The sequence below is a fragment of the Homo sapiens genome, chromosome 2, assembly GCF_000001405.40.
Source record: "Homo sapiens chromosome 2, GRCh38.p14 Primary Assembly".
NCBI classification, from domain to species: Eukaryota; Metazoa; Chordata; class Mammalia; order Primates; family Hominidae; genus Homo; species Homo sapiens.
This window is the reverse complement of record NC_000002.12, coordinates 94989462-95001786: the sequence shown is the minus strand read 5'-3', so window position 1 is coordinate 95001786 and position 12325 is coordinate 94989462. Positions and strand designations below refer to the sequence as shown.

Here is a 12325-nt window from a genome sequence, read left to right as displayed (position 1 = left end):
TGTACACATCATGGAATGCATAAAAAAAAACTTTTTTTTTTTTTCCAGACAGTGGTTTCCCAAGGTGGGAGCTATTTGTGGGAACCTTGCTGATCCTACCTTCTTCCCAAACTCATGGGAAATATGACCAGCCCCATGTCTCACACACACTGAGGACTCAGGAGCCTCCGAGGTCTGGGGAAGGGCCCTGGCTCCTCTGAACCTTCCTCTTGGTACTGCAGGCCATGGGTGCTTCCGTGAGACCAAGGCTTGAATGTGGCCCCCTCAGCCACCCACTTTGTGAGCTGTGGGCTGGCAGCCTCACGTCTTTTAGCACAGGTGGGTGAGGAACCCTGCCCAGTGCTGTAGTGGGGCAGAGGGAGCAGATGTCACATGCCTGGCACATCCGGAGTTCCACCTCATGTCCTTTCCCTCACCCTCCATGACCCCCTCCTCTGAGCTGGGCCCAAACCTCCCTCCCAGGGAAATGGGACCTAGTGACCCACTGGGCTGTGCTTCCACAGGCACCTTTGAAAGGAGCCCGTGGGAAGCAGTAGGAAAGCAGCAGGCTATGTGTGGGGACACGCCCATCCCCATTGCTCCTTACTTGACCACCCTAACAGAGACAGCTAGTGGCAGGAGGGCTTCCCAGCATCTCCAGGGGTTCCCTGCAGCTTCCAGCCAATTCTCACACAGAGACAGCTGCTCTTCTGGCCTTTGCTTGGGGTGTGAGCCCAAGCACATGTATCCATATGTGTGAGTACAGGCTGAGATCCCACAGTGGGTAGCACCCTGTGTGTGTGCCTGTGTGTGTCTGTGTGTGTGTCTGTGTATGTGCACACATACATGTGAACTATGCAGGCTGTTATTTCCAAAACTAAATTTGGCTTTTTTAAAATTTGTAAGTTGTTTACATGAAAAAGTTTAAAGAAGCATAAAAATGAAATTATATTGTTATAGTTTTAGTGGATCATCTCTGAAAAAGAAAAATTTAGATTCTGAGAAACTGGACTTCTAAAACACTCCAGGATTTCCCACAGTTAAAGGCACAAGGCAGAGACAAATTCTGGCCATGATTAAATGTGAAGGGCATGGGTGGTAGGTGTAAAAAATGGGGTTCACAGTCCTGCTGGCCAGCACCTTTCTCTGCCTCTTTCTGGCTCCCCTGGTTTGTCGTTTTCTGGTGTCTGTGAGCACCTCAAGGCCAGAGACCATTCCTCATTCATCCAAACACCCAGCATCCAGGGCCCAGGCTGGCATGAGTAGGGTCCCAGCAATTCTGTCAAAGAGTATTTGAGACTGGGGACTGATTCTGTCTTTTGTTCCCTCCTTAGATTCCTAAATTCTCCTCATTCTGCTCCTTCACATTTAAATCGACCCCCAGACAGGATCAGGACCTCCTGGCCTTCTTGGAGATGTGGGCTCTATGCAGGGATGACAGAAGCCAATGTCTGGAGCCCTCCCCCAACACTGCAGAGCTGGAGCCTGCTCAGAGCTCACAAGTCATCAAGGAAAATCCCCTGGGCCCTCAGAGATATGACCACTGGACCTACAGGGTTCTGACTAGGGCCAACCCCTTTGCAGAAGTCAGCAATCCCTGGGAACCTATGGGGGTGTCATGTAATACCTGCCACATCAACTGACAAGTAGACATCCCAATGGCCATGGAAAAAATGTCTGTGCCAGGGCTTAGATCCTCTGAGGCTCTATAACACTGCTATTAAAATAGTCACTGAGCCTAATAAAAAGTATAATCATCTCCATTTACATCATGATGTGGAATCCTGAAATGGCAATTTTTAGTTCTTGGTGAATCAAAGTACACAGATTCTTGAGAAGGACACAGCCCCTAAAGAGACTTGGGTCCCCTCCTGCAGTTGCCACCCTCCCAGGTGGCCAGTGCAGGCACAAAGATCTGCCACTCGCTGCTTAAACCCCCACCCATGGGGAGCCCCCCATTCACTGTGGGAAGTCATAGGAACTGCCATGCCAGTGAGCCAGACCCGGCCCAGGCCCTGCGGTCAGTCACCTGCCACCTGGCTGCTGCTGTGCCTGTGATCCTCTTCACGCTCTTCCCAGCCGACTCTCCCTGTAGGCTGCCCTCAACTTCTAGAGCGCCAGCCAGGGTGACTCTGGTCCATGTGCTTGACCAGTGATCATTCTAGTAACTTTCTGGAGGTCCCACTTTCTAGGAGGCCCCTGGTAAGTCTCTGCCTTCCACTTCCAGCTGGGACCAGTGACCCCCTCACCTTAAGAAGTGAGGCCCCTGGCCCTGCCTCATTCTGCGCCTGCCTTCCAGGTTCTTGAGAGCAGGAGGGCCTGGTCCAGGGCCAGGCACCCAGCGGATGCTCAGCAGATATGTGTGCAATAGAACTAAGCCTTCGAACTTTTGCTGAGCACCATGGCTGTCCCAGCAGTCATGTGTTCCCAGGGTTGTGCCCTTTCCTGAAGATCTCAGCTTCTCCCACATCTGTGTCTCATGAATCTACACCAGCAGAGCCTGGCTCAGCAGGGACCCCAGGGGAAGGCGCAGGCATCTGTAATCCCAGCACTTTGGAAGGCCGAGGTGGGCAGATGGCGTGAGCTCAGGAGTTCAAGACCAGCCTGGGCAACATGGCGAAACCCTGTCTCTACAAAAAATACAAAAATTAGCCGGGCAAGGTGTTGGGCACCTGTAGTTCCAGCTACTTGGGAGGTTGAGGCAGGAGAACAGCTTGAACACAGGAAGTGGATGTTGCAGTGAGACAAGATCATACCACTGCACTGTAGCCTGGGCAACAAAGCGAGACTCCGTCTCAAAGAAAAAAAAAAAGAAGAAAAAGAAAATGGACCCTGGGTTTGACGGGGACCTCATGACACGACCTGCCCTCTCAGTGCACGAAAGTGGTCCAGGGGCTCTTCTTGAATTTCCCCTCCGCTCTCCCTCTGTCCCTCTCTCAGAGGTGGTAGTGGCCTGGGAGGTCCTTGGAGGGGATCTTTGCATACCCACCAGTCCACAGCGAAGTAAACTGAGGCACAGAGGGAACGGCATGTGCCCAGGATGGGGGGTGTAGGTGCTCGCTGGAGCAGCCCCTTCTCGGACCCAGGGGCAGAATTTCATCAGTGGCTAGGGCCGAATAACAGGACCCCGGGTGCGAGAAACGCCTGTGTAAACGCCTCTCAGAGGGCCCTGGAGAAGGAGGGTGGGAGCCGCGAAGTCAGGGCGCCCCTGGAAGCTTCTAGAGATCTGGGCGTACATCAGACAGCAGCGGCTGAAGAAGGAAACAGGCTGGCTTCTAATAATGTGCAGACAGTCTCGATCCTTCTCCCGTAGCTCTGCGAGCCCATGTTCCTGGCCACGGTCCCTCAGCCGCCCTGGAAGCCGCCGGCACCAGCCGGTGTTCTGCTTCAGAGCGGGCGCGCGGTGACCGGACTGACAAGGAGGGGCTTCATGCGAAAGTCCCCCTCCCCTCCCAGGCACCGCGGGTCCCCCTGCGCAGGTGCCTTCAAGGGAAGATAGGAGGCGGCGGCTCCGCCCAGTCGACCCCACCGAGGGCCGCCCTCCCTGCCTGCGCGCGGAGCCCACGCGCCACCCAGTGGGGCGCTCGGTGGCCGACCTAGCTCTCAACCCAATCCTGCTTCCAGTGGGCGCCCCAGTTACTTTCCCTTCCAAAGAGCCTTGCTCTGCGGCGAGAAATAGTTGCATGACCTTAATGGAAAGGTGGTGGCGTTGTTTCCTCTCATGGCTGAAGGAATGTCACCGTTCAGGTTTCCGCCAGGTTGACGATGCCAATCCAGTAATGACAGTTCTTCCTGGGCTCCCAAACCTACCTTGGCACACTTGCACAGGTACCTCTTAATGGCAACTTGGCATGACCCCACCATCTTGGTCGGCTTGGGCCGCCGTAACAAAACATGAGACTGGGTGGCTTAAACAACATACTTCTATTCTTCACAGTCTTGGAGGCTGGAAGTCCAAGATCAAAGGCTGGCTCTATTGAATGAGGGCCCATCCTTATGACCTCACTAAACTTTAATTATCTGCTAAAAACCCTATCTCCAAATACAGTTATATTGGGGATTAGGGCTTCAACATATGAATTTGGGGCTGGGGAGACACAATTCAGTCCATAGCACCCACCTTGACATAACTACGCCTTACTACGATGGTCCCTTGACATAACTATCCCTTGCCATATCCAAACCTTGGCATTGCTACACCTTGTTGTAATTACACTTAGCCTAAGTGCCCCTTGACATAACCCCTACGCAAGGTGGCATTACCCACCATGATGTAACTACACCTTGACATACAGTGTAGTCTCCATGCATCCCAATTTACGGAAAAAAATTTGACTCTTGCAGCAGTGACATAGCTTTCCTGAGTTGGCAAGGTCAGAAAAAGAAGCAGAAGTGGTCTCCTCCATGTTCTCCTTCTCGCCTCCCTGATCCCCAAATTTGTGGCCTGGGTCAGGTAGCTTCGTGGAGCTGGCCCCGAGAGAGTAGTTCCCTGTGTGTCTCTGCAATGTAAACCATTCTCCTTCCTACTACTGCTCTCAATGCCTCCCTTCTGATACCTGATACCAGCCACTTCTCCAGTTCTCAGAATAGTAATTGAATGTCCTGCAATTTAACTCAATTCTGATACTGTCTACCCGGAATTAATGTCAGATCCCACAAGTTAAGGGCTCGGTCCCACAAGACCACCCTCATTTCTGATGCCAGCTGCCAGTCCAGGTTGGCACCTGTGCTTCTGACCAATCAGCCGTACGTTCCCAAGGCCCTTTCTCGTGTGTATTAATTTGCTAGAATGGCTCTTAGAACGTGGGAAAACAGTTTAGTTCCTGTTATTTATTATAAAGCATACAACTCAAGGACAGCCAGTGGAAGAGATGCATGCGGCAAGGTATGGGGAAGGGGCATGGGGCTTGCCTGCCATCTCCGGGCACACTGCCTTCCCAGCGCCTCCACGTGTTCACCAACCCAGAAGCTCTCCCAGCACCCTCCTTTTGGAAGTGTTCGTTATGTTGGCATTTTTTAAATGGAGGTTCCATTTTGCAGGCATGATTGAGTAAATCACTGGGCATTGGTGATTAACTCCATCCCCAGCTCCTCTCCCCAGCTGGAGGTCGGCGGGCGGTCGGGCTAAACATTCCAACCTTCTAATCACACGGTTGGTTTCCCTGGCAGCTGTCGCCATCCTGAGGCCCTCCAGGAGCCCCCAGGCCCCAGTCATCTCATTAGCTACAAAAAGTCATGTATCACTTTGGAGATTCCAAGGGCTTTAGGAGTTCTGTTTCTTATTATAAGTCACAGTGTCACAGTCTTCACTTAAGAAGCAAAGGCAGAGGAAGGAGGCGCCCCACGCAGCGCTGCTACCGCCAGCTCCGGCTTTCTCCAGCGGAAGAGCGAAGACTCCTGCTTGGGCTTACTCAAAGGCTAGGATTGCCACTCCTGGACCCCAAATCCAGAGTTAGGCTCCGACATTTTTGTAAGCATTGTTTCAGCAGTTCCCTTAGAAGAGATTCCCAATGATATACAGGAGCTCAGGGCTCTGGGGGGCACTTAACGCACTCTTATTAGCCCTATGAAGAAAGAAAATTTAAATTACCAGTCCCAGAGAGACAGTAAAATGAGAGAGCAATCAGCCTTGAACTATATATTCATCTCTGGAAACTGCTTGCTATTGCCACAAGGAGCTATAAATCAACTTAATAATGCCACACCAGACACCATAACCCACACCCTATAGCTTAACAATGTAGAGCCAATCATGAATCAATATTATTTCTGTAAACCAATGAGAATTCCTGACGGATTTGTATCATCCCACTTCTTGCCCACCCCTTTTGTCTTTAAAAACTGCTTGTTACAATGGCCCAACGAAGCTCATTTCCAAGGTTACCTGGGTCTGAGTCTTCCAGGCAGCTGTCCTCACTTTGGCTCAAGTCAACCCTTTATTTTTTTGTGCCTCAGCCTCTTCCTTTTAGGTCGACACCTACTAGTACTGGGCCCAGAGCCGGGGTTGGCCTGGAATCAAGCTGGGCCCTTCCTCAGTGGGCCAGCCTTCTCCACAGCTGGGGCAGCCTTGGCTGTGCATGGGTCCAGGCCCCACAGGGCCACCAAAGCTGGACTGGGTCCTGGCAGTGGCGGGCTAGGCTCTTCCTCTTTGTGCAGGTGGGATTCTAGGGTGAAAGAAGCTGATCCGCCACAGACCAAGAAGGAAAGGAAGGAGGCAGAAAACATCCTTTTGCCCAGGGGAGGTAGACCATGGGTTGTGGGTGAGAACTGGGAGGGCTCAGGAGCCAGCTCTGTCATCAATCCCTGTAGCCTGCCTGTGGCTTTTGAAGTCCTCATTTCTGTCAATGGTGTGAGCAAAGCACTCAGAGCTGAGGTTGGTGGGGTCAGGGGAGGTTCCTAGGCATGGGACTTAGTGAAGGGCAAAGATGACTAAAACATCCAAGAGCCAAACCCCTGCCTGTGGATTCTCATAGTGTTGTGGGTGAGATCAGCACTGCATGTGGGGCACCGCAGCACAGCACAGCACACACAGCACAGCACACACAGCACAGCCCAGCACACACAGCACAGCACACACAGCACATATAGCACACACAGCACATGTAGCACACACAGCACACACAGCACATATAGCACACAGAGCACATATAGCACACACAGCACATATAGCACACACAGCACACACAGCACAGCACACACAGCACAGCACAGCACACACAGCGCAGCACACACAGCACATACAGCACAGCGCAGCACACACAGCACAGCACAGCACATGGCACAACACAGCACACACAGCACAACACACACACAGCACACACAGCACAGCACACACAGCACACACAGCACATAAAGTACAGCACAGCACACACAGCACAGCACAGCACACACAGCACACCCAGCACACCCAGCATACCCAGCACACACAGCACACACAGCACAGCACATACAGCACACACGGCACAACACAGCACACACAGCACAGCACACACAACACACACACGCAGCACACACAGCACAGCCCACACAGCACACACACACAGCACAGCATATATAGCACAGGCTCAGAGGCCCCTGAGGGTGGGGGGCAGTTTGAGAAAAACTTCCGGGTAAGAAGAGTTTTTCATGTAGTAAAGAGGAGGGTCAGGCCTCCGTGTTCCCGGGGAGAGGGGACATAATGTCCACAGCGTGCACCGATGCAGCAGCAGGGCTGAGCTGGCCATAGCAGCCGTGCTGACGCTGGACCATCAGGGCTGGGCAGCAGGGTAGCAGGAGATGCAGCTGGACATAGGGCAGGGTCAGATCTGCAAGTAAGACCTGGGAGGTCACTTTTCAAAAAGCTTGGGCTTCATCCTGAGGGCAGGAAAGGATCTGGGGTGAGAGATGGGCAGAATCTGACCCACAGCTGAGAGACTGGCCTCAAGTCTTTGGCGTGGCTGCCTGACTCTGTTTATCATCCGGACAGCAAACATTGGAAGCTGCTTTTGGGGACCAACAATCCCGGCTTTCAAAGAGCGTTTTCCCCTCAGCCTGGCGCCTGTGCATCAGTGGTAATAGATGCTGAAGGCTGGAGAATGTAGAGCAGCGTGGTGATGAAGGTGATGGTGTTGAAGGTGGTGAAGAGCTGGAAGGAGGCAGAGTGACTGTTAAAGATGGCAGTGCCAGCTCCTGCTCCACCCCAGGGACCCTCAGCCCTGAAGCCCAGGAAGCCACACGTAACCCTGTCTCATAGCCTCCTGCCTGGCCTGAGATAGCAACCACTGGCCAATGACTCCCTCTCCTGGAAACTCTGCCCCCAGGGCATCCCTGGGGCCAACCTGGTGTCCTGCCGTTACCGCACAGTCCCCATCTCATCTGCACCTGGCCGTGAAGCAGGCTCATCTCCACCCCAATTGGGCCCTCATCCCTTGCTGACCTACCCGAGGCCCGCTCTCCTCTGCCCACCTCTGCCCAGCCTCCCTCAGCTCTACTTGCTGGCCCAGAACTGTGCTCTGAGCGCCTGCTTCTCAGCTCCCTGTGAATGTTCAGATGCCGCTCCAGCTCTTCCCGGCCCACACTGAGCTCCCGACGTTCCTCACAAGCCTAAGGGGCCCAGTGGGCCCCCGGGTCCTCCTCTCACCCAGCTCCCTGAGCCAGACGCCTGTGCCCCGACTCCCCTCCCTCCCTTGCCAGCCATGTGCAAAGCCACTCCAAAGGCTACTGGTTTTCCTGCCGGTCTCTGGGGACATGCACTTCTCCCTCATTTCAGCCACCAGCATCCCACCAGGACTCCTTGTGGCCTCACTCATCCACTTCTGCCTGCCTTGCCCCTCGAATCAGCCCCCAGAGGAAAACACGATCGTGTGCCCCATGCTGAAGCCGTGCGATGGCGCTGCTGTTTTCTCGGGGTAGGGCTGTCACCCTCAACATGCCTTCCAGGCCCCACTGGCCGTCTCAGCCTCACTCGGCCCCACTGTCCACTCACACGCTCCTCATTCATTTATTCAATCAGCAAATATCTTTTTCCCACCCTGTGCCACCGGGACATAAATCATCCCTTTGCCCGGCCCACCCACACTGTAGATGGCTCGTATGCTGTCACTTCATAGCTGTCCCGGCGATCACATGGTCTGCTGCGGTGTTGCAGTGCGTGCATTTGAGGAAGCCTTATGTCCTCCACAACGTCCCCAAGTCGCAAGAGTGGTGACGCTGGCAATATGGATATGCCAACAAGCAGCCGGAAAGTGCTTCATTTAAGTGAAAAAATGAAAGATTTCAACTTAACAAGGAAAGAAAAAGATCATCCACTGAGGTTGTTAAGATGTGCAGTGAGGATGAATTGTCCATCGGTGAAACTGCAGTGAAGGAGAAAGAAGTGTGTGCATAGTAGATGCAGGGTTCAGTGCCACCCAAGGTGTCAGGCTTCCCCTGGGGGTCTTGGAACACATTCCCCAGAGACAAGGGGGACCACTGGACACTGTCTTAGGTATATTGAGGAATTGTTGTTAACTTTCCATAAATGTGATAATGTGAGAAAGTTTGCATATGTTTCTGGAAACAGACTGAAGTGTGTGGAATGAGGTTTGCTTTAAAATTCCTTAGGGGGAAAAAAGGCAAGATGAGACAAATACGGTAAAATCTTCGTAATGCTGGAATCTGGGCTATGGCTACGTGAGGGCCTATAGTACAATATTCTGTACTTTCATATAGGTCTTCAATTGTTCAACGTGGGACACTTTTAAATGCCTATTGAGATGATGCAACAACTTGAAGAATTAATGATGTAACATTAAATGAAAGCATCTACATCCAAAATGATTTGTAGAGTGCAATTAAAGTGTGTATATTCTTTGCATAAAGTATATTCTTTGTGTATATTCTTTGCATAAAGTTCACATGGAATATGGAAGAAAGAACCTGTCGCAGGGATTGTGACAAGGCCTTGAGACTGAAGTAATTTCTCTTTCCTACTAGCATTTTCCTCAGTGTTGCTCTAAGATTTTACCAGGAAGAAAATTTAGGGGAAACACATCAGAGTGTGCTCGATTACAGGGTGCTATTTTCGGAACAGGGAAGGCAGTGGAGGGGAATGGAATGAAAGATCTACTCTCGCAGGGAAATGTCTTCATTTTGGCCTAGTAGTAAACACACTAAAATCAAAAGTCTTGGTTCCATGGGAGCCTACCCCAGGGTCTCTGATTCTCCTCTGTGCCCAGAAGTGCCAGTTGTCCTCACCCCATCCAGGACGTCCACCCAGGAGGAGCCATGCTGCCGGTTCTTACTGGAACTCTCCAGGAATCATTTCTTTTGCAAAATCCAAACAAGGAAGACAACAGGAAGCTGAGGGAGATGAGAAATGGGGTGAGTGAGACATACATCACCCATCCTTGCAGCAATGGGTTTGCAACCTGGGTGGTGGCTACAGGATCCAGACCCAGCACCCAAATATCTGGAAAAGAAAAACATCAAAGAAGGGGCTTCAGTAGCTAGTGTGGGGCATGTTTCCCTTTGCAGGGCGTCTCTTTTCTGTCTCTGGTTAATAGCTCAGATGAAGTTAGGGGGGAACCAAGAAGGAAATGAGAAGGAAGGTTGGCCCCCTGAGTCACAGTAGTCAGGCCCTATTGTTAGAAAATTCAAGGGGTTGATGTAGAGGTTGTGAACAGAGGGACTTTCGCCAAGTTGGCCTGAAGATGTGTCCTCTTGGCCCAAGCAGTGTTGGCATATACACTTTTAAACAATTCTGAATAAGTCGCCAACGTTTAAAACAGGATATTTCACATGGAAAATTCAGATTTGGGACATTGCTTTAGACATCGATGGTTCTAGCCACAGGGTACCCATTTCCCAGGTCAGAGCAGGCTGAAATTTCCCCTTTAAAAGGACCTGAAGTCCTCAGTGGACCCCATCCCCCAGCCCTGCTAACCCCATACCCTGCTGTGGCACATTCCCTGTTTCTCGCTGACGCTGTGGAATAGTACTCTTTTCTTGACTCCTTCTATCCACTGACAGTGCCTGCCTGGTGGCTCTGTGAACATTTGGTTTGGAGCCTCCAGATCATAGCATCTGATGCTCTGGTCACCAACTGGACAATATAGTTCCAGGTCCATCACCTCTCAACTCTGTCCAGCTGTTTGTTATCCACTTGGTGGAGAAACCAAAGCTCTGAGCTCTGCTTTTATTTGCCTTCAGGCTGGGCTTGCACCCATGTTGGTGAGCTCAGGGGAGGGAGTGACATGACCAGCAGATGGCTGTCCAGTTAGGGGCTTGGAGGAAAGGGTTGGCACAGGCATCAGGTAGTTTTGTTTTCAGTTTGTCTCCAACTTTTTGAGTTCCTCTCCTTCCTGGGGCCTTCTTAGGAGGTCACTACAGCCCTCCTGGGTTCTCCCTCCTTTCTCCTGTTAAATCTGTGCTTTTAAGCCACATGGGCTGGTAATCTCCGGAACCCACGTCGAGCTCAGTCTCTCTGTGGCCCCACATACCCACCTGTCCAGTGCCTATCTCTGCTTGTATGTCCCTCTGCCAGGGCTATATCCTGCACTTGCATAATCTCAAGAGTGAGTATCTCATTAAAGTGTGTAGCTTAGGCAGCTCGCTTGCCTCACTCCCATCCTGATTCTTGCCCTAAAACGCCTCACATTTAACAGGTTACAAAATCTGCACTTATTACCACTCCCCGATGCCTTCAGAATCCACTCTCCTCAACCCCTGCTGAAAATGATCCATCTGGGAGAGAGAAAGTTGTAGGATGGGGAATGGGAGCACAGAGGCCTCCAAAGATAATGATAATGTTCTATTTCCATTCATAGTGGATACACAGGGCTTTATTTTTTATAAAGCAATAAAATAATCTTGAAAAAGAAGAGTCTATTGGATTGGGAGACCAGTGGAGTTTTGGGGTGATGGGGTGGGGGGCCAGGAATGACTCCTGAATTTGTGATTTGGAGGAATTATATTACCATGTTTTAAAGCTTTCTATAAAGTTAGGTAATCAAAAGAGTTGTCAGCTCAGGTGACTCACATTTTTGCCTATCTCAGGAGACAACTCGTCTCCTTCCCTAGTTTTGTTGCCTTTTCCCCACAAATTTTAGAATCAGCTTGTCAACGTCTACAATATCTATCTGCTGGGATTCTTATTGTGTTAAATCTCTGGATGAATTTGGGGAGAATTGTCATCCTTACTATGTTGAGTCTCCTAATCCACGAACATGATGTATTTCTCCAGTTATTAAGGTGTTCTCTGACTTCTTTGATCAATCGCTTGTAGTTTTTAGCATACAGTGGCTGCATACATCTTGTTACATTTATGCCTAAGTATTTCATTTTGGGGGAGCTATTGTAAATATTATTGCTTTTAGAAAATTTTATTTCTCGATTATCCTTTGCTAGTAGATAGCAATATAATTTATTTTTTGTGTGTTGACATTGTATCCTGCAACTTGCTAAGGTTACTTATTAGTTTATTAGTTAGTTTATAGTTATTATTCGTTTAAAGAGGGTTTTTGTTGTTGTTCTTTGGTAAATTGTTAGCCATTAATATTTCATCTTCTGTAAAGTTTTCATTGTTTTTATCAGTTACATTTTTTAAATAGATTTTTCTTATTGACTTATGGGAATTCTTGCTGATACCGTGGATCTCACTGACTGTCATAAACATTGCACATATATTCTGCCGGCACTCACATATTTTATGGTGTCCTTTGAAGAACTAAGTCCTTAACTTTAATGCCATTGAATATGTCTGTCTTTTCTTTTATTGACTATGCTTTTTATTAAGTTTAAGAAATCTTTCTCTACCTTGAGTCACGAAGTTATTCTTGCATCCCAGACTTTTCTTCTGGGACAATTTTCTTTCTTCCTGAATTGCAGC

The 12325-nt window shown here is 50.3% G+C and overlaps 2 annotated features.

The window, feature by feature from the left end:
• Positions 6094–6641: an enhancer, noted in NCBI's record as "H3K4me1 hESC enhancer chr2:95660891-95661438 (GRCh37/hg19 assembly coordinates)". NCBI's record gives its function as "activates a minimal SCP1, AML or CMV promoter by ChIP-STARR-seq in naive H9 embryonic stem cells {active_cell/tissue: H9 hESC(naive)}" and the evidence as "EXISTENCE:reporter gene assay evidence [ECO:0000049][PMID:30033119]".
• Positions 6642–7190: an enhancer, noted in NCBI's record as "H3K4me1 hESC enhancer chr2:95660342-95660890 (GRCh37/hg19 assembly coordinates)". NCBI's record gives its function as "activates a minimal SCP1, AML or CMV promoter by ChIP-STARR-seq in naive H9 embryonic stem cells {active_cell/tissue: H9 hESC(naive)}" and the evidence as "EXISTENCE:reporter gene assay evidence [ECO:0000049][PMID:30033119]".